The sequence below is a fragment of the Homo sapiens genome, chromosome 17 (genome assembly GCF_000001405.40).
Source record: "Homo sapiens chromosome 17, GRCh38.p14 Primary Assembly".
Taxonomy (NCBI): Eukaryota; Metazoa; Chordata; class Mammalia; order Primates; family Hominidae; genus Homo; species Homo sapiens.
Genome location: NC_000017.11, coordinates 72,257,999 through 72,281,050, shown reverse-complemented (window position 1 = coordinate 72,281,050; position 23,052 = coordinate 72,257,999). Strand labels below are relative to the sequence as shown.

At 43.3% G+C, this 23,052-nt stretch overlaps 1 annotated feature.

Moving 5' to 3' along the window:
• Nucleotides 16,203-16,272: a silencer, noted in NCBI's record as "silent region_8912". NCBI's record gives its function as "represses an Ori minimal core promoter by ATAC-STARR-seq in GM12878 lymphoblastoid cells {active_cell/tissue: GM12878}" and the evidence as "EXISTENCE:reporter gene assay evidence [ECO:0000049][PMID:35858748]".

Sequence of the window (23,052 nt, the reverse complement as noted above, 5' to 3'; positions counted from 1 at the left end):
GCATGCATAGGTGGAGGTGGGAGGGATGATGATGTTGGATTTGCTCATTTGGAGGTGGCTACAGAATTCCCTGTTCCCATGCGGCAATTTTCAGTAGGCCGCTGGAAATTTGAATCTGAAAACTGGAAAATAAGATTGATATGAAAGTATTGATTAATGCATCTATATTTTTCCCACTGATGTATATCCTTCCTTACATAGTTTTGCCTGTTCTCCTTGCCAGACCATAAGTCCCCATTGTCAGAGATGGTGTAGAGGCGATGAGCTCAGACAGGATGGGGTTTGAATTCTGGCTCTACTGTGTTCTAGCCATGTAATACCAGGATGTTATTTTGGTTTTCTGAGCCATAAAATTTCCTTATCTCTAAAATGGGTGTAATATTAGCTACCTTAGGGGCTCTTATGAAGATTAGATGCAATTTTCATTGTAAAGCATGTAGGATGTTTTCTGTAAAGGTAGCAATTTATTTTATTTTTTTATTTTTACTTTTGGTGGGTATATAGTATATACGGTAGGTGTATTTATTTATGGGGTATCTGAGATGTTTTGATACAGGCATGCAATGTGAAATAAGCACATAATGAAGAATGGAGTATCCATCCCCTCAAGCGTTTATCCATTGAGTTGCAAACAATCCAATTACACTCTTTAAGTTATTTTAAAATGTACAGTTGTTTACTGTACTTACTCAATTGTTTCTTTAATATTTTACTCTCTAATCCCAGTGTGCACATGTGCATGAGCACATACGTGCATGCACACACATGCACACACATGCGCACATGCATACACACGCGCACACACGCACACACACATGCATACACAGCCTAGTACAGGATTCTGTGAAGCTTGATGTTGTCTCTAGAGGCCAACTGTCTTTCCCCATTAAACTAAAATGAAAAAACTCATTGTGAAAACTCATTAAGCTTTACACGTATGTTTTATGCATTCTTTTTCTGTATGAATGTTGTTTTAATACAAAGCTGAAAGATGAAGAAACTGAGGCATGAGCAAGATGAAGGAAGGAAATTACTAATCACATTGTCCCCATGTCCAAATATAACAGAACGTCATCAAAACTCTCCTTCAAAGATTGGCCCAATCCTAGCTGCTTCTCAACACTCTTTTTCTTTAGGAAAACTTGTCTTGGCTTAGTGTTTCTGTCTCTATTGGAACAACAGGACTAGAAACCAAGTTATGGACTGTCAGGACCTCTCTTGGATAATGGAATTTCCTTGATGTATCAAAATATTATTATTATTAGTTTGTTTCTTAGGGGGTGATGGGCTGGTCATTGAGAGGTGAGATGGTCAATTCAGTTTTGGATGCTGGCTGGACGGATAGACTCATTGTCATTTAAAATGAACTTGTGATGGACTGGGAGAAATATATATGCAACATACGTGATAAAAGACTTGTATCCAGAATACATAAAGGATTCTTACAGTTCAGTGAGAAGGCAAACAACTCAATGAAGAATAGCAAAATATTCACCAAAGAAAATATACCAATGGTAAATAAGCACATGAAAAAAACCCTCCAAACCATTAGCCATTGATCAGGAAGGAAACACAACTTACATCCCTGAGATACCACACCCACTATAAGGGCTAATATTAAAAAAAGGAAAATCCTAGGCCGGGCACTATGGCTCATGCTTGTAATCCCAGCACTTTGGGAGGTTGAGTTGGGCGGATCACGAGGTCAGGAGTTCGAGACCAGCCTGGCCAACATGGTGAAACCCCATCTCTACGAAAAATACAAAAATTAACTGGGCGTGGTGGTGTGTGCCTCTAATCCCAGCTACTCGGGAGGCTGAGGTAGGAGAATCGCTTGACCCCGGGCGGCAGAGGTTGCAGTGAGCCGAGATTGTGCCACTGCACTCCAGCCTGGGCGACAGAGCGAGACTCCATCTCAAAAAAAATGAGAAATCCTGATAACATCAAGTGTTGGCAAAGATGTAAAGCAATTGAAACTCTCATACGTTGCTGGTGGGAATGCAAAATGGCAAAGCCACTTTAAAAAACAGCTTAGCTGTTTCTTATAACATTAAACATACACTTCCCATACCACTCAGTAATCCCAGTTCTTGATATTTACTCAAGAGAATGAAAACATGTTCACATAAAGACTTGTACTCAAATATTCATAGCAGCTTTATTCCCCAAATTGGAAACAACCCAAATGTACATTAGCTTGTGGTATAACTGACCATGCAAGGAAAAACTACTCAGTAATAAAAAGAAACAGACTTCTGGTACACATAATGACATAGATGACTCTCCAAAGCTCTTTATGCTAAATAAATAAGCCTGACCCAAAGGACGACATACTGCACGCTTCCATTTAGACAAAATTCTAGAAAAGGCAAAGCTATAGAGTCAGAAATCAGCTCAGTGGTTGCCAGAGACAGGCTGAGGGATGTGGATTGACTGTAAAGGGCACAAGAGAACTTTCTGGAGCAATGAAAAAGTTCCCTATCATGAGTGTGGTGTTGGTTTTGCAACACAGCTGTCAAACTCATCTAGTTGTAAATTTATAACAGAAGGCTTTGACCGTATGTAAATTATACCTCAATAAAGCTAATTTTAAAAAACAACGCATGACAGTGACAACCTCCTGCCTCAGGACACGTCATTCTTGTTACCTGGAATGCCTTCCCCTTCTTGCACCTTTTGAGCCTGGCTCCCAATCCTAAATTTCCAAATCATTCTTTTTCTACTTCCTTGGAATTGTAAAATTTCATTACTATAAAATTTTTGGTCCATGTTAACATGTTGCTTTTTATAATTTTGCTGGTTTCATCAGCGCATATCTGACATTAAACCAATCCATTGATGATTATACCACTATCCTTAATTATTATTATTGATGGAAATAAATATCTTCAGTGCACACACTATAAGACATGACTCATGGCTGGGCACGTTGGCTCACACCTGTAATTCCAGCACTTTGGGAAGCTGAGGCAAGCGGATGGCTTGAGTTCAGGAGTTTAACACCAGCCTGGGCTGTAACATGGCAAAACCCCATCTCTACAAAAAATTAAAAATTTAGCCAGACATGGTGGCATGCACCTGTAGTGCCAGCTACAAGGGAGGCTGAGAGGTGGGAGGATTGCTTGAGCCCAGGAGATCGAGGCTGCAGTGAGCCAAGATCATGTCACTGCACTCCAGCCTGGGCAACAGCGAAAGACCCTGTCACAAATAAAGACACGACCCAGAGTGGCATGGGTGCCACTATGGGGTATGGGGACTGTAGCATGGACTACCTTCAATTCCCTTCCCAGTGGCTGTCCTGGCCCATTTTGTACTCTAACCCAGAAAGTTTTACAGCACACCAAGGTACAGGGGTTGTGGCTTAGAGCATAAGCCAGTCACCTAGCTGGCTTAACTGTGGGTTAACTTCTTTCCCATCTGTAAAATGGGCATGATATTAGTACCTAGGGTGGTCAGGATTTAAATCAATTCCTATGTTCCAACTGCTTTAAAAAATGCCTGGAACAGAGAGGGCTCTATGTAAATGTTTTATTCAAATAATTTTAAAAAATATATTATTTCTAACATTGGAATGCAAATTCATATTTAGCTGTTCACTTTTTTTTACTCTGATATGAACTTATTTAAGAGTAAGGACTCCTTAAACAGTCCCTGTGTAAACCTGGTGTGCTCTTCTAGCTTAGCTCCAATGGCATGGTCTGAAACTCTTGGTTGAAGTATTGCCCTTCCTTGTAGATTTCTCCAGGGCAGGGTCTTTGTCCTAGTTATTTGCGTCCCCAGTACCCAGCACAGTTCTTTGATTACAAATAGTACCTTGGTAGTGAGGGTTCCAACTGAGGTTCGGTGACATGCTGAGGTTAAACAGCTTTTAAGGGGCGAACTGAGGCCTCTTGAATACCAGTCCAGAAGTCTTGGGAGGGTGGACTTTCTCTGATTATTTTAATCAGCAGAGAATTCAGAAAAACAAGTCAGTTATCAGTTTTGAAACACATGTACTCAACTCTGAAGATAAATTCATGGTTACATATGTTTCCTTGAGCTGTGAAGTTGAGTTCACACTCCTGAAGTCTATTGCAACTGGACTGTGATGGGAAGTGGCAGGTCTGAGATATCAAACTCCTGCAAGTGTAGTCAAGAGTTAATCAGGTCTCACCTTGGCCTTGGCTTGACTGTCTTCAAGGCTGGCCTTTGGGACTCTGGACACGTGGAGCCCACTCTAAGCTTTGTTCCTGACTGACTCATCTTGGAAGACATATGTTCCACCCAGCAGGTCCACTTCCTTTGGTTGGTACCATGTCCCTGCTGTAACACAGGGATGAGCCTGCTTTGCATGGTTTGCTTCATCTCATGCAAACTTAGATGAGTTTGACCACTGTATTGCAAATCCAACACCACACTCATAATAGGGAACTCTTCCATCACTCCGGAAAGTTCTTGTGTGCCCTTTGCAGTCAATCCACATCCCCTAGCCTGTCCCTGGAAACCACTGAGCTGCTTTCTATCTCTATAGCTTTGCCTTTTCTAGAATTTTGTCTAAATCTTCTCAGCCCAAGATACCTACCCACCTACTTCTGGACTCCCCTAGTTACTAACCATTGATGTGGCCTCCTGAACAGATGCTTCCTGTATCAACCTGACTAAAGCAATCGACAAAGGAAATCTGCTGAAACAACTTACGGATTTCAAAGTCAAACTGGAGTTACTTTTTAATTCACCCTTTAACACTCTATATTCTCCTTGATATGATGATAGTATAATCCAGAAAAGGGCAGAGTAGGTTACCTTGGTGTGATGGTATATTAGTCTGTTCTCATGCTGCTGATAAAGACATACCCGAGACTGGGCAATTTACAAAAGAAAGAGGTTTATTGGACTTACAGTTCCACATGGCTGGGGAGGCCTTGGAATCATGGCAGAAGGCAAGGAGGAGCAAGTCACATCTTACGTGGGTGGCAGCAGGCAAAGAGAGAGCTTGTGCAGAGAAACTCCCATTTTTAAAAACCATCAGATCTCGTGAGGCCCATTCACTAACAGCACAGGAAAGACCCGCCACCATGGGTCATCTCCTATCAGGTCTCTCCCACAACACGTGGGAATTATGGGAGCTAGACGATGAGATTTGGGTGGGGACACAGAACCAAACAATGAGGCTGAGATTTGGGTGGGGACACAGAGAAAAACCATATCAGATGGTTAATATTAGGTGTCAGCTTGATTGGATTGAAGGATGCCTAGTTGGCTGGTGAAGTATTGTTTCTGAATGTGTCTGTAAGGGTGTTGCTAGAAGAGACTGACAGTTGAGTTGGACTGAGAGAGGAAGACTGACCCTCAATACGGGTGGGCGCCATCCAATCGGCTGCCAGTGCAGCTAGGATGAAGCAGGTGGAAGAGGGTAGGATAACCTTGCTTGCTGAATCTTCTGGCTTTCATCTTTCTCCCATGCTGGATGGTCCTCCTGCCCTTGGACCTCAGACTCCAGGTTCTTTGGTTTTTGGACTCTAGGACTTGCACCAGTGGCTTGCCAGGGGCTCTTGGCCCTTCCATCACAGTCTGAAGTCTGCACTGTCAGCTTCCCTGGTTTTGAAGGTTTCCAACTTGGACTGAGCCACTACTGGCTTTTCTCTTCCCCAGCTTTCATATGGCCTATCATGGGACTTTACCTTGTGATCATGTGGGCCAATTCTCCCTAATAAACTCCCTTTTATATAGACATAGATCCTATTAGTTCTGTCCCTCTGGAGAACCCTGACTAATACATTTGGTTTAAATCAACAAATGTTTATGGAGTACCTATCATGGGCCAAGTGCTGTACTTGTTTTTCCCTCAAGATTCTCAAGAAGTGACAGCAGCATCTGTCTTATCCCTGGTACTTAAATAAGACATCTCCCGTTGTCCTGGGAAGATCAAGCCATTGAGCATTTATGTGTCTCTGCCCTAGAGAGTTCCTAAGGCCAATCTTGAATTCTCCCCTCTCCTAGACTTTCAGAAGGATCAGTTTAGGAGGCAGGGCACTGCAGAGCTATAGGCCTCCTACCTGGACACCCTGTGTTGTCTGTTCAAGCAAGGAGGCTCCCCTCTAAGCCTGCAGGCTCCTTGCTGTCTGACCCCAGCCATCTACCCTTGCTTCAAATTACAAGTAGGACTAGAAGCCAAGAGCCAGCCCAATGCATCACGGTTCTCACTAAGGAGACAAACCAAGCTGCCAGCCAGCAGGGCTTGGCTACAAAAGCTCAGGATGCAGCAAGCTTATCCAGAGAAGGTGATTTTGTTTCTAAATGCAGCTTCTCTCTCTGCAGAACCTACACATTTCTTCCAATTGCTTTTCTGTTTAAAGATGAGCAGTCTTGTTGGGGGTGCCATCGGGCTGTGTGTGTGTGTGTGTGTGTGTGATGGGGCATGCAATTGCATAGTAATTTAACTGACTTCATTTAAGATAAGGGCATGCCATTGGTTCAGTCCCCGTTAGGTTCTAATTAACCTGGCTCTATTCTGGAGCCACAGAAGACACTGCTGATCCAAGAAGACGCTCTTACAAATGAACCTTCATGGTCCAAAATCTTCATGGTCCACGGGGAGGCAGGATGTATAAGAGGTGCATTTGCAACCTTTACTCAAAAAATACGTGAACAGCTTCCCTCCTCACCCTGCCCCCACCATCCTCCCACACAAAGGACACACACTCGGCTTATAATTTGGTTTGTCAGCTACTTGATAAAAATTCTAGTAATGGGCAGCGGAGTGACTCCTTGGAGAGGGCCCTGCTAGTTCTTAATCTCAGCAGAGGTGGATAGATCTGGGGACCTGGGAGAAGCTAGGCTCTTGGAGATGCAGCCTTTGCTATTGGTTATTTTGTTGATGTGGATATACTTTGGAATCCGGAAACTCTGAAAGGAAAGAGTTGTTGATTCCCTGATATTGCATTCATTCATTCATCACACATCCATTGAGCCCCTCCTGGTCGGGACAGGCACAGTGCTTCCCGTGAGAAGTATGTTAGTTTCATAGGCAACCCTGGGAGGGTCCACGGTCATTTCTGTAGAAAAGCCTTGGACTGGGAATCAAGAGACTGAATCTGTCCTGAGTCTTTTGCTCATTTGTTGGGTGACCTTGCGCAAGTCACTTCCCATCCCCGGGATTTCAGGTTCTCGCCTGAGCTTCCCTCCAGCTCTGACGCTCTGCATTTCAGCTTCATAAAGCAGGGAGGACCCAGAAGCATGTGCCCGGACAAGCCTCCCTCTTCCCTCTGCTCCTGGCTAACTCAGAGGGCCAGGCTGGGTGTGGCTAGCTCTTACTTTCCCCTCAGGCTTCTCCTCAAGGTTTTCCCTCTTCTTTATCCTCGCTCCCCACAAAAGTAAGGGAGAGATGAACAGAGGAATATGGATACAGAGAGAAGAATAACCAAAAACCAAAAAAAAATCCTCAAGATTTCCTGTAGCCAGCAAGGAATATCAGGTTTCAACCTGAACAAAAACGTGCTGTTGCACTGCCTGGCTATTGCCTGACTTTGGAACCCAAATGGGTGTTCTCTGTCAAGTCAGAGATTGTGGTTCAGAGTGAAGACTGACTTATATACACATTGCCATGGCAACGTTTAGGTAAACTGGCTCAGAGGCCTGAGGATGGATATTATGGGATCGCTTCCTTTCTTCTTTTTTTTTCTTTCCTCTCAACACTAGCCTAAGGTAAAGAACAGCTGAGCTGGGTTAAGTGATTCCTTTTTGGAGATTTCTTACCTTTGTACATATTTGGCTCTGAATTCATCAGTGAAAACTCAGGGAGGTGTCAGCTGAAGGCATGCTGGGGTCCTTGAGTTTTATTGATAACTACATGATGTCATTGATAATTCATGTTGAATGTGACTGATTATGTTGCTAAGGGGAGAAGGGAGCTACGTGTGTGTGTGTGTGTGTGTGTGTGTGTGTGTGTGTGTGTAAACTGGATGGGGGATGCTGGTTGTGACTTTAACTTGAATGTCTACCTTCTCCATTCAGATTTCATCTGCCCGTCCCAGATTCTCTTGATAATTGTCGTATCCAGTGACACCCAAGTTTTCTTTTGTTTGCTTGCCTGAATTTGAATCATTGTCTACCTAGTGCCTGATAGTCACACACCAAGTAGGGCCTTGAAAAACTAAAATAAGCTTCCTCCAGGGAGACCCAGAGCAGATGCAGAAGACATCCTTGCCTCTTATCTCCTCTGGGGGTTGATGCTGGAGACCTTCAAAAGCCTATATAGAGAGCAATGGAGGTCTTGGATTCTCCTGGCTATTTTATTGTATTGCTTTTCTAACTTGGACTTCTAGGCTGCACACTTGAGGCATCAAACTTACCTACATGCAGAAAGATTGGCCCAGTGAATACCCATACAGGGATTTCTGGAGCTCTCCTAAAGAAGGACAGGCAGCCTTTAAGCAGGATCAGAATCTCACTTGTCAGAGTTCTGTGAGCCACACCAAGATGGGAATTAGGAAGGGAATCCAGAAGGTAACGCTGGTGGAATCTGATGGAGTCAGTTCTCCACTAGTCAAGTTCTCCACTCTGCACTTCTTCACAGTCTCTCTGGACTAGTAATACGTTTGTGAAATATAAACTTTTTTTTTTTTTTTTTTTTCAGACAGGGTCTCGCTCTGTCACCTAGGCTGGAGTGCAGTGGCATGATCTTGGCTCACTGCAACTTCAACTTCCCAGGCTCAAGGGATCCTCCTACCTCAACCTCTTGAGTTCCTGGGACCACAGGCATGCACCACCATGCTCTGCTAATTTTTTGTATTTTTGGTAGAGATGGGGTTTTGCCATGTTGCCCAGGTTGGTCTAGAACTGAGCTCAAGAGATCTGCCTGCCTTGGCCTCCTGAAGTGCTAGGATTAGAGGCATGAGCCACCACGCCCGGCCTGAAATATAAACTTAATTCTCTTATTGAGTATAATCAAGACAGGGTATTCTTTTCCAAAGATAAAACGCCAGAAAAGTTACAACTTCTGTAGATGTGTGTCTTACATTTACAATAGACAGGTGCCAGAAATCCATGTGTATAGGAAAAGTTTGAAGTTGGTGAATTTTAATTATATTTGGTGAAATTGTCAAAGGAAATTCTTGATGATTTCTCTGTAAAGTGCTCTATTTCTTCAAATGTTTCTGTTACTGAGATTTTTCTGCCTTTGGTTGGCTTGGAATTGAGTGTCCCCATAGCTTAGAACAAACAAAAAGTGAACTGGGCCTAGGGAAAAATCTGAGTAAGCAAAAAAGATCTTTGGCCTCAATCTCTTCTTTTGAGATTTACTTAGCATATTTGGGATATGTGGATACCCTTTCTCCTGGTCTTTAAAATTGCTTAGGTCATATTTTTTCTTTAGAAATAAAATGCTTTTGTCAGGAATTCTTCATTTTTCTTTCTTTTTTTTTTTTTTGGAGACAGCATCTTGAGGGCAGTGCCACCATCGGAGCTCACTGCAGCCTTGAACTCCCAGGCTCAAGCAATCCTTCCCACCTCAGCCTCCTGAGTAGCTGAGACGACAGGAGTGCGCCACTATGCCTGACTATTTATTTATTTATTTTTATAGAGATGGAGTCTCACTATTTTGCCCAGGCTGTTCTTGAACTCCTGGGCTCAAGTGATCTTCCCACCTCGGCCTCCCAAAGTGCTGGGATTATAGGCATGAGCCACCACGCCTGGCCTATTTTTCATATTTTGGAAGCATCTATGGCGCAGAGACAGCTAAGAAACAAAGAGTTTCTATAATTACCTTTAAAAAGCATTTTGACCCCTATTTTTTGAGACACTCGACTTCTTTGCCAGCTCTGATAATAAACCCCGTTTTTGACATTCAGGGAGCAACTCAACAGGAAGAGGAAGCAGGAACTAACCAGAAGAAGACTGTGGGGATACTGAATGCAGAGGGAATAAATCCATTGTAGGTGGCCCAGGACCTTCTGACTCCAGGTTTGAGTCAACATGGAACTCCCAGGATGCTCCTCACTTAAGGAACTAGTGGCACTTGTTCTTTTGTGGGGAGAGGGGATAAAGAAGAGGGAAAACCTTCTCCTCTGGTCCTTCCTAGGCTCTAACCGATTTTAATATAACTCCATTCCTGGCACTATGGTCCTGGAAGCCAAAAGTGAACTCTTTTCTACTTTGATCCTTAGGGAAATTGGAGCAAATCAAGTTGCTTATTTAAAAAAAAAAATGTCAAGGGTGAGATTCCCTAGGGTGCGGTGTGAGGATTGTACTGGAAAAGGAGGAACACAGTCCAAGCAAACACTGCTGAGAAAGTCTTCCAGCTGGTTGGGTTCCTAATAGTTTCTCTGGGCAAAGGGGAGATCCACTGTCAGATAAAAAGCAACTCATCACCCTCTGAGCAGCAGCTGGGCAAACGGCCAGGCTGGGGAGAACAATGATTTCCTCGCTCTTAAATTTGATGATTAGTTCATATTTATTGGAAGCCTGTGATGCATTTAGCCTTGCAGCCAACGTGCAGAAGGAGGCAGCCCGATGGGATTCATTTTTTCCTATTCAGTTTTTCCAGTTTTCATCAACTGAGTCAGCATCTCCCTAGTTAAGAGGTGTTGAGCTGAATCTCATCTGATCCGCCTATAGCTACTAAAATGGCTCTTAATGCCTTCCCTCTGATTCAAGCCCCCAGATCAAACTGGCCTATGCATATCCACCCTCCCCAACAGCTCCACCCTTTCCTGCATCTCCATCAATGAGATGAAATGGCCTATTTCACTTAAAATACCTCCATGATTGTGGGTTTCTCATTACTGCCTGTAAACAGACCTCTCTAGTGTTTAACACGTTACTTTAATTAGCTTTAGGGATAGAAGGAAAAAGAGAGGGTATCAGGGTCGGGGGACAGGTTTTCCTTTTTGTTTTTGTTTTGTTTTGTTTTGTTTTGTTTTTTTGAGACAGAGTTTCGCTCTTGTTGCCCAGGCTGGAGTGCAATGGCGCAATCTCGACTCACTGCAACCTCCGCCTCCTGGGTTCAAGCGATTCTCCTGCCTCAGCCTCCTGAGTACCTGGGATTACATGCGCATGCCACCATGCCCGGCTAATTTTTGTAATTTTAGTAAAGATGGGGTTTCACCATGTTAGCCAGGCTGGTCTTGAACTCCTGACCTCAGGTGATCCGCCCACCTCAGCCTCCCAGAATGCTGGGATTACAAGCCTGAGCCATTGCACCCAGCCTGTTTTTATTATTTATTGAGTGTTACTGTCTGTTGGACTCCATGTTGTGTAAATTCTCTTGCTCACTCCTCACAGCTTCTTTATGAGATAGACCATCTTATTGACTCAATTATACAAATGTGGAAACTGAGGCCGAGAAAGCCTCCATGGTTCCTGGGAGGAACCACTCTGGTACTGCCTCTGTGGCTTCGGGTCCTAGCCACAACTTGGTGTCCCGAAAGGTCAAAAGCCAGGGGAGAAGTACTAAGGGGTACCTTTGGTGTTTGTTTAAGAAAAGAACTGGGGAAACTGATCATAAAGCTCAGGTTTATAGAAATGTTTATAAGGCCAGGTCTGACATGCAAGGCATCCTGAAGCTTGAGCATCCATTTAAAGCATGCATGCTTATGTTTGAATTTGCTCCTGAGACCAAATTGTGGCTCTCTTATGTTCAAATTGCACTTTTCACCAGTGCATTAAAACACCAGTTGCTGATAAACTCAGCCCAGATGCTCCCAGGAGAAGAGCTGCTTGTTCACTTGTTGAAGAAGCTAGTAGGCCGTCTGGAGGTTGGGCAGTCTTACCTGGTCAGATGTGTTGGTGACTCTCCCTGGGGATTACTGGTTCTGGTGGTCTCTGAGGTTGACCCTAATGCGAATTGTTTCATCTCCTCTATTTTGCCCATTAGATGAGCTCTGGATGAAATGATTTGAATATGAATAAGCGCTACAGGGGGTTTGCAAATGACGCCAAGATTTTTGCAATCCATTGCTGTTTTTCCTTCTGGGGATAAAGTGGGTGGTGGTTTACAGCCAGGTGCAGTGTAGTTTATAGACTGCCAGTAGTAGTGGAGGCCAAGAGTAGAGGGAGCTGATAATAACAAACAGTATCCTCTGGGGAATTTCATGGATGGTTCATGGATGTCCCTGAGAAAGTCAAAGTAAAATGTAATTAAATCAAGTTTCCAAATAAAACACTCTGGGCCCAGAAGAGATTCATGATCTCGGAAGATTAATTAAACACATTGCTGGGTCCTGGGTTAGTACTGGGCATTCAGGGGGATCTGAAGGGAAAGTTTGATCCTGGTGGAGTGATTTCTCTTTTTCAGAAGAATTAGAATCCTGGGTTAGGGCAGCTGCTGAATGATCTGGAGGGAGTTACGATTGCCCAGAGGGTCATTTCGAGGTAAGCCCTTCCAAAAGAGCACTTCAGTGCAAGATGCAAGCATCATTAGGTTGAAATCAAGAGCGTAAGCCAGCCAGACCCCAGATGCTCTGGGATTCTAGTGGGCTAGCCAAGCAAGCGCATTTTCCCCTGCTCTGTGTCCCAGGAAGCTGGGCTGTCAGGACACTATCTAGAGGCTGCGTTGCCCCTGGGCTTCCAGTGGGGCTCAGCCAATGACAGTGAGGGGAGGAAAGTGAGGTAAGGATATTTCATTCCCCGAACCCCATCTTTCAGGAAGACCTTGTGCTGGCTGCATCTCGCCAGAGTTCACAGCTACTGTGGAGCTGCATCATTCTTCCTCTAAGATCTTGTCCCTTCAGGCCTGGATAATGATAGTCCCCACTGTTTCTGGTCCTAGGGTACTGCACTGTTCCCTTCTACTTCTCGACATCTTGCCCACTCATTTGTAAGTAGTTCCTTTATTAAACTCTCCTGAAGTTACTCAATATAAGGGTGCCATCTGTTCCTACCTAAACCCTGAATGATACAAAAGTAGCTACTAATAGGATCCCCATTTCACAGGCAAGGAAACTGCAGTGTAGAGAGATTGAACAACTTGCCAGGGGGCCATACCTTGTAAAAGGCCAAATTGGGATTTACATCCAGTTTTGTCTGATCTCAGAGCCTACTGATTGATGACTACCCTTCAGCACTTCTGCGGGGCTCCTTATGGTGTCAGCAGTCTCTGACAAAGGCCACTAAGAATTCATCAGCCACTGGCCATTGCTCTTGAGGCCTTTCCTGCCACCCTTTCTGCCTCCTACGAGGTGAAATTGTGCAGATCCACCTGCTTCCTCATTCTACCACTGTTGGGACAAAGGGCATGAGCCTGTATGGTGGATGATCTGGACTTGGATGCAGACCACACAGCAGTGCCAAGAGGCCACTTGAGGAGTAACTGAGCTTGGCTTTACTGGCCCTGTGTCCCTCATCTGACACCATATGCAGTGCAGGGACACAGCAGACAGGAAATGCTTTGTGGGACACAGTAATTACAGAGCTACTCACTTAGCACTGGGGTCATTTCTGAGCCCATAGATTCACTTCCAGGAGGCCCAGAGAGTTGGCTCAAACCTCATCCTGCACGTCTCCAGAGACAGGTCATAGAAAATGCAGGTGCATGTGATCAGAAAGATGCTAGATTTTCACCTGGTTTTGTGCATTTTCATAATGAGCCCTCTTCCATTGGCGCTTAGATACTAACAGGTGCTTAGATACTAAGTGTAATTTACGTGGTTCATATGCCTGACATGCAGTAAGCTCAGAATATTGTTGGAAAAAAAAATGAATGAATGGGCTAAGTGATCATACTTTGGGAGATCTAAGAAAGTGGGGGATGGTGCTTATAAAATCATTTAATCACTTCCTATCCCTGTTTCAGACCACCAATTAAGGTCAAGGCTGAAAGAAGAAATTTGCTGGGAAAGGAATAATGCTGAGAGTACTTGGTAGGAAAATAATAAGTGATAATAACTGTCATTTTAAGCATGTGGTATGTACCAGGCATCCTGCTTAGGTTTAAAATGCACTATCTCATTTATCTTTCCAACCCTATGACATTGATGGAATTATCCTCATCTCGCAGATGAGCATCAAGCCTCAAAGAGAAAATTTATATTGCCTCCAAATTTACATTTCTGCTAAGTGGCAGCATTGGGATTAAAAGCCAAATCCATCCTCAGACCTCAGAACTTTGGTTAATTATTCAGAGCTCTGGGTTGGATGCCTGGGAGTTATGGCTGCAAATCCAATCTTGTGGTTCAGAGCTGGATACCACTGTCACAGCCCACCACACCTGTGGTGTGGATACCTGTGGATACCACTGTCACAGCCCACCCAAAGAATTTCTCTCCCCATATGATTCCTTCTCACCTTGTCCCCCCTCTTCGGAGGTTGCTTTCTTGACAGTTTCCTCTTCTCATTGTGAAATGGTTTTCTCTCTGTTGCTGCCTGTTCCAGCCCTTAGGCGGGAGGTACTGAAACGGATTCACTAGTGTTTGCCCTGACCTGTCTGTCGCATCTCACACCGCACCAGGGGATGCTGTGCCTCTTAGCTTTGTTAATCATTTCAATTTGGCATTGTGTGTGTTTTATGGTCTTATTTCCGCCCCACTTTGCCCCCATTCAATGATGTTTACCTTTTAAAGCAACACTGGAAGGGAAAAGCTATTTCTACTGCCAGATGTTGAAAAAAAGGAGAAGAAAAGAAAAACACTCCTCCCCCCACCGCACACATTTCTGTTCTGCCTCCAGTTTTTTCTCTGTAACACACACAGATAAATAGGAGAGGTGAGCAAACTCCAGCTCTTTGTTTGAAATAACGAACAGCAGGGATCTTGTCCTTGGGTACGGAGCCCCTGAAAGCAACGTGTCTCACATTTTAATGCACATGTGAACCATCTGGGGGGGTCACGTGAAGATACGGATTCTGATTTAGTAGGTGTGGGTGGAACCTGAGATCTTGCATTTCATGCCAGGGAGTTGCAAGGTGATACTCTAAGTGAGGCTCCTAAGTTTCCCCCGTCCCCTTCATTTCGGTCCTCTATTTCTCTGTCCCTGATGTGACTCTCACTCAGGGAAATGTGCCCTTGTCTCCGGAGCTCTTGTGGGCTTTCCAGACTGCGCCACATCTCCCACGAATGCTGCAGCTTGCTCAGTGGCATCGCCTTTTATGGCTTAGGTTGGAGTCTGTCTGCTAAGCCCTTCCAAGGATAACAGTTAGTTGTCACTGGCTTGGAGACAAAAGAAATGCATTTTGCTGGAGCCAGTTTTCCCCGAAACACTAATGGTACCTTTATCTCGGGTAATTAAAGCTCTGACTGATGAATGCGTAATTACGCATAAGCCCGTCTAAAATGATCGCCTTGGTCTTTCATCTTGAGCTCACCTCATTTAGAGAGGTAACAGTCTTTGGGTGTGCTTTACAGAGTAGCAGTTCTGAGGTGTCTGAGTTGGGTGGAGTCACTTGGGGGGCCGGCCACCTCTACAATTACTGCGGTTGTGTGAAGGCTGGAGCTCTCTTTGTCTCCGTGAAGTAGTGGCTTTATGTGGCTGAAGAGGGCACTGGGAAAGTCGAGAAATGTGTTGGGGTTTGCCAGGCTGGAGGTTCAAGCTGTGGCCCATGGGTCTGTTCCAATTTTGTATCTGAGTGCTTTGGGGTAAAGGGGGTGACAGGCCCGTGATCTGTCTTCTGCCCTTGGGCCACTGGCCACCTCTTCACCCTCCCTGTTTAGAAACAGGCTCATTCTTTTTACACTGGCTACCATTGACCCTAGCTGTGCTAGTATCACTGTCATCCTGTGACCCTCCTTCCCCAGTCTGAGTCGGGGCTGATGTTAGTTTTTTTTTTTTTTTTTTTTTTTTTTGGCCTCCTGGTTGAGTGCTCATGGAAGTACCCCAGAGTGCTAGGTCAATTTCTCGGTCTCAAAAACACTGAAGCAGAAAGAGGCCTAGAGAGTGGTGGCAGATCACATGAGTTCCAGACATAGATGAGCTGAAAACCCTCCTCTCCCTCACATGAGAACTGCAACAAATGACAACTGTTAAGCCCTTCTGAGCCTCAAATTTCTCATGTGTGAAATTCTACTAACATCATGGGATGGGTTAAATGAAATAAAGCCGGTCCTGGCTTAGCACATGGTCTGGCTATTGTATTGGCTTAGCACATGGTTTGGCTATTGTATTAGCACAATACAATTGTCTGGTTATTGTATTGGCTTAGCACATGATCTGGTTATTGTGTTGGCTTAGCATATGGTCTAGCTATTGCTTTTGGTATTTCTGTTACTTGGGAGGCCCATCATATGCTCTGCGGGTTCTGTAGACCAACAGAAACTATTCAAGTCACTACTTTTGAGCATTCTCTTCCTCCCTGATAGGTCTACTGTACAATCTGAGACTCTGCTGTACAATCTGACTGTACAATCTGCTGTACAATCTGAGACTGCTGCTGTACAATCTGAGACTCTCTGGGATCCCAAGGGACTTAAAAAAAAAAAAGGTTGGGATGGGCTTACCTTGAGCTCTCATCTAATGTCCACAAACACAGGGGACACTCACTTGAGGGGCTATTAGATTGGTATAAAAAAACAGCATATATCAGGAAAAATAATCTGAAGGCAACAAAAAATAATAGATGCTTAATGGGTCATTACTACCCGCCATGCTCTGTGCTGTGTATCTTCATACCACATTATTTTTGCAGTGATCCCACATGGTAGATAGTATCTTCACTGACTCATGGAGATATGATGGCTTAGAGGGGTGGCTTCCTCCAGTTTATATCTCTACCAACTAACCTATACAGGACCGTCCTATTCCATTAAAGATGGTGACACTATTGTCTTCTGATGCTGATCTTCTAGCTACTTTTGAATGGTTTCAGTTCACACTCAAGTTTCTCAAATGTACCTCCCTTCCCCTATAAGACATTCATTCTTCAATCTTCTGAAGCTAGGCTTCCCGCTCCCTGCCTTGTAGTGATATTGTCACCCAACGGTCAACAATGACCTACTTCTTCAGTGCCAAACTCAAACATTTTCTTATTTATTTTTCTTCTTCTCTGGCACATACCACAGTTGATGAAAGCTCTTTCCTTGGACCCTAGGATGATATACCATACTGATTTACCTTCTTCCTCCTAATCACCGCTTCTCTGTCTCTGCTGCCTCTTTTCTTTTTTATGCTTACAAATGGGTCTTATTCCTATATCATATTCTCTGAGAAACTCATCTAGTGTCAGGATTTCAACCCTCTCCTGTATGCTTACCACTGTCTAAACTTGTATTTTTAAGCTTTGCATTTAACAAGCTACAGGCATGCATATCTATCCTGGCTGTATCTCTCTAGATGTAGTGGCATGATCTCTAGCTCCACAAGTCTAAAATAGAAGTCTGTGTCCCTCTTTGATATTCCATTCATCTTTTGCTTTCTTAGCTTTTGCCAATGTCCCATGCCTCTTCAGGGAGAAATCTCAATTACTTTTGACTACCTTGTATTCCCACCCTCACAATTGACTTAATATCCAAGTGCTACAGCTTCAAATCTTGACCACCCAGTCCTGCTTCCTTTGTGAGACCCTGAACACCTCACACCTGGCTTATTGGAGTAGTTTTTCAAATGTTTTCACTCCTTCATCAACTTTCCAGACTGTGATACTCTATACCACACAGCCTAAGTATTCTGGAAATGCCGCTTGCATTATATTGGTCTACTCAGAAAGCCTACGAAATAGGTGACACAGGCCTTAACTTGACTTGAGAAGTTCTCCATGATTTCCATGTCTTCCCAACCTGTTTTTCCCACTGATACCTATGAAAACTCTTGGCTTAAGTCAACATAAACTATGTGTTAATTAGGATTAGGTTCAATTGCCAGTAACAGTATAATCCAAAATAACAGCGACTTAAATTGCACAGAAGCTTATTTCACTCTTGTTTTAAAAACCAGGTATAGGCAGCCCAGGACAGCAATGCCAGTTCTGCTCCACCAAGGGCTCAGAGACCCAGGCTCCTGCTTTCCTGTTGGTCTACTTTGGGTGACCTCCATTCCCAAGATCACCTTCATGATTGGCCAATTCAGATCCAGTTAACAAATCCACAGTACAGCCAAAAGAAGGGGGGCAGGAGTGAAGAAGGACACAGTCCTTCCCTTTAAGAACATTTTCTGGAAATTGTAGATATGGCTTCCATTTGGATCTCATTGGCCAAAATGTAGTCACATGACCACATCCAGGTGCAAAGGAGGCTGGGAAATTTCTTTCTTTCTTTTTTTTTTTTTCTTTTTTGAACTGTGGTTGGCCATGTTTGTATCTGGCTGAGATTCAGGGTTTTATTACTAAAGCAAGAAGGTGACAAAGGGTATTGGGAACAACCAATAACCACTGCTACAGTCAACTATTTTTCCTCACAGGCTATGGATATTTTTATCACTGTGCTATGGTGCATACTTGCCTCCCTTGCCTGATATCTCATCTAAATCTCTAAGAAACTTGTCAGAGAGACGTTATCACAGAGTTGAATGAACACTGACCTTGGAGTCACACAGAACCAGGTTCAGATCCCAGCTTTACCACCCACAACTTGCTGTGAGACCTTGAACTCACAAAACATCTTTGAGCCTCAGTTTTCTTCTCTGCAAAATGGAGTAACAAAACTCATGTTGCAAAGTTATTATGAGGATCACATGGGGCAGTTTGGATTAAGTACATACCCCAATGTGTGGAATAGCATATATACTTCAGAAAGGAAAGTTACTTATCTTACCAATAATCATGATAATCAATATATTACCTCAAAAGACCCAAGTTCTTTTCTTTCACAGAGAACTTCCTCTCTGTTCCAGTTTGAGAGAACAATTCCTTGCTTTGAACTCTTTTATTAATAAACACTCTATTTGAGACACTGATGATAAAATTAATACATGCGTTTTGTGATTTTTTTAAGAAAATTTTTGAACCTCCAGAAAAGTTGAAAGAAAAGTACTTTGACTTTTCTTAATTGTTACTTTAAGTGATCATGTTCATATGCCCTGTTTTCTCAACTAAATAAAATATCTCTTGAAGGCAATGACCATGTATTAAACAGGAAGCTTCCTTTGTTTTTGACCTTTTTTTTTTTTTTTTTTTATCCTCTTAGTACCTCCAATACTGCTTAAGAAAAAGTTGCATTTCACATCCCTCTGTCTACTCCTGTATTTGATGATTTTTCGTGGATGTCCACATGGCTGAAGGCAACAATGACTATGTAGGATAAGATTTATAAGACTTGTCAAAATTGTCTATTATTGTTTTAAGGGTGGTGATATGGTTTGTCTGTGTCTCCACCCAAATCTCATCTTGAATTGTAGCTCCCATAATCCCCACATGTCATGGGAGGGACCTGGTGGGAGGCAATTGAATCATGGAGATGGGTTTTCCTGTACTGTTCTCATTATAGTGAATAAGTCTCATGAGATCTGATGGTTTTGTAAAGGAAAGTTCCCCTGCACATGATCTCTTGCCTGCCTCCATGTAAGATGTGCCTTTGCAGAAAGTGAAGGCACCTTCTGCCATGACTGTGAGGCCTCCCCAGCCATGTGGAACTGCAAGTCCATTAAACCTTTTTCTTTACAAATTACCCTGTCTTGGGTATGTCTTTATTAACGTGTGAGAACAGACTAATACAGGTGGGCTCCAGGCAGATATTCCCTCCTCTCACTTCTTTGTATGCATCATAACCTCCAGTGGTATCCTTCAAACAAACAAACAAAAACAAAAAACAGTTGCTATATGAGTGAATAAATGAATGCTTAGATAAATGAATGGCTGTAGAGATTCAACTTAGGGTGACCGGGAAGTGACTCAGATGGTCAGTGAGAGACCACAGACTCGGTCGTACATAAATCTAGGCCTCTACACTATATACTGCAAACAACAATGATCAGAGGCAATGAATGATCCTGAGGATGCTTCCTATTTTCTCCCCGTTTTCCTTACGGAGGTATAAATTAACTAATTTTGATGCCACCTGGCAAATCCCCTTTTAAAGGAATTATATTACTGAGATATAATATACCCTCTGGGGCTCTGTAATAATTTGATTGATAAGAATTCATTTTCTTTCTTTCATGGGTACTACAGGGGGTTAAGATGGCTTCCCAAAGGCAATCAGAGAGAGCTAATCCCCTTCGGCAACTTATCCCCTTGGCATGGTTCCATCCCATCTATTTTGCAGTAGGTAGAAAGGATTATCTTGGAGGCTTGGACAAAATCACTCTCCAACTGCATACTTGTAAATGATAAACCGTTGGTCCTACCATGTGCAGTGTGTTGGGTACATACATTATCTCCACTTTTCACAAAACCTCCACAGTAGGTATTGCTCTTCCATTTTACAAATGAATTTACTGAGAGTCAGAGAGGTTCACATGACTCAAAGGGGCAGAGACAAAAGTTGAACTCAAGTTTGTCTAACTCAAACCTTATTCTACTGTGGAAGACTCTCTGTGAATATTTCATTAACAAAGAACATGTTTCAGAAAACATAAAAGTAAGCAAGTTTGCTCCAGCAGGTCTGCAAGCAGGAAGTAAACATGCAGTAATGTCACATTTCAATACTAATCTGGGCGTTGTCTTGCCCCATCTCTCTGCTACCCATTGAACTTCCAGAAAATAAACTCTATGCTTGATGTCCAGTAGAGTCTTATTACTGCTCTTTGTCCAGGCTCTTGAAGACAGGAATTAGTATAGCCATTTATTATTATCTTAAAATTATTTGGACTTCATGAAATGGCCTTTTCTCAAATATCACTGCTTGATTTAACATGAGAATCACAATTTTGGTGCAGAAGACCAGCTTGCCTCCGACAAAGCAAATGCTCACTGAGTCAGATCGTTTACACTCTCTCTTCTCTCTCTTGGCACATATTATATATATTTTACAGTCAGTAATATACACGTAGACCTATGACACACACACACAATAAACTGCGCAGATAAAGTGCCTTATTATGCCTCGTCTAGATCACCAAATAATGTGCCGGCTGAACAAAGGCTTTTAGCAGAATGATTGCAGAGTGTACTCTCTTTTGTCTTGCTTTCTTCTCCTCTTTTCTTCCTTGCTACCCACCGCCCTCCACCTGCCCCTCCTCCCCTGGCTCAAAGCACTCCATGCTGGGGCTACAAAGCATCACATTCCTCAACAGGTTTAATCTTTGTAACATTCTGGCATGCAAGTTATTAAGAGGAGATGGTGAGGAGCTGTGAGGATGATTTGATGGAGTCTTTTCCTGGATAAAAGGTTCTTGCCTGGGATTATCTTTACTTTATTTGCAGTAATCCCACTCGTCCCCTCAGCTGGGTTTGTGGTTCTTGGGCTGGTGGGCTGGGGGCAGGTGCACCTAGAGTGATTTGCAGGGCTCAGCAGGGCCAACGGGAAGGTGGACAGCCTTGTTGGAGTAAAATGGGGAGGGGTCCAAGAACTCTACCCTGTGGAGAGAGTGCAGAGTTTGACAGGGCCCTGCTGAAACAGCCTGGCTTAGGGGAGTCTCTAATACTTTTTTCCGAAATGCAAAATTAGGCAAAACCACTTTATTGATTGGGAGTTTTCCATTAACAACAGGTTCTAACACACTAATGGGTAGTGCCCATGTCTTAAACAGGCAGTGCCTACCTCCCTGCCACCACCTTTTTTTAAAGCCCTTTTCATGTTTTTCTCTACTTGCTACCTCCAATTTTGTCTAAAAGAGACATGCATTTCACTTCTCTCTTTTCCAAATTATATGATTATTTCCATTAATGTTCAAATATATATAGGCAATGATATATATCCAAACAGATTTTAAGGCACATTGAATGTTATTTGTACCTCATATTAATGGGGAAGCTGGAAATCACTTTTTGATAAGGATTTTAGATGTCAATGGAAGATTTCTTTTCCATGAAAAGCGTATAGTGATAGATACTTAATAGTGTTGTATTGGCTGGGTGCAATAGCTCACACCTGTAATACCAGCATTTTGGGAGGCCGAGGTGGGAGAATTGCTTGAGCCCAGGAGTTCAAGTCTACCCTGGGTCACATAGCGAGAACCTGTCTTTATAAAAATACAGAAATTAGCCCGGTGTGGTCCCAGCTACTCAGGAGGCGGAGGCAGGAGTATTGCTTGAGCCCAGGAGGTTGAGGCTGCAGTGAGCTGTGTTTGCACCACTGCACTTCAGCCAGGGAAAAAAACAAACAAAAAAATAGTGTTGTAACAGGCACTGAGCAGATAGCTGGCACTTGGTAGGCAGGAAACAGATGGGGCTACTGTGGCTGATGAGGAGATTGTGGATGAACCCAGAACATGCTGTGATTGCAGAGACTTACTTGCTTTGAGTGGCCACTAACAGCAAATGGGTCATAGTTTCTGACCATGTCAGAGAGAATTTATTGAAATACAGTGTCCAGAGCATCTGTTTTTGTTTTGTTTTGTTGTTTTGTTTTCAACAAAACAACTGAAGTGGCACAGCCTGGTATAGAAATCATATGGATGGATTGGAAGAGGGAATGACTAGGGCCTTGGAGTTAGACGACTGTAAATTCAACCAGAAGGGGTAAAATCTATTTCATCTATATTGGTAGCAAATAGAAAGGGAAAGAAAAGAATAGATAAACATTTCAAAGAAAAAGGGCATGTCTTAGTTACTTATTGCTACGAGAAGTGAAAAGGAGAGGGAAAAAGTTCCATGCTTTCAAAACTGAGTACCCAACAGTATGGGAATGAGGAGGTGAAAAAAATGTAAAATGGCTTCATGGACTGATATAGGGAAATTGAGAGGGGAAGCTGGTTTGAGAGAAGACAACCTGGATATAATAAGGTTCAGAGGAATGTTTAGGGACTAATGAAAACCACCCAACAGGCAGCTGGGGTATGAGGGATGAAGCTCGAACAAAAGTTTAGAACTTGACTTATAAATATGGGAACCACCAGTCCATAGGCCATAACTGAAAGCTCTGAGGATGAAGAAGCTCTCCCAGGGCTGGAGAGAAGAAAAATCCCATTACTAAACGAATAATCCCTACTTAAGGTATAAGCAACTCATCAAAAGCAATGAAGTAAATAAATAAAGCCATGAAGAGCTCAGCTGTGAATCTGTGAAGGCACTGAGTGTCCACTGTGAGAGATCAAGGGCAGTGTCTCTTGTCAACT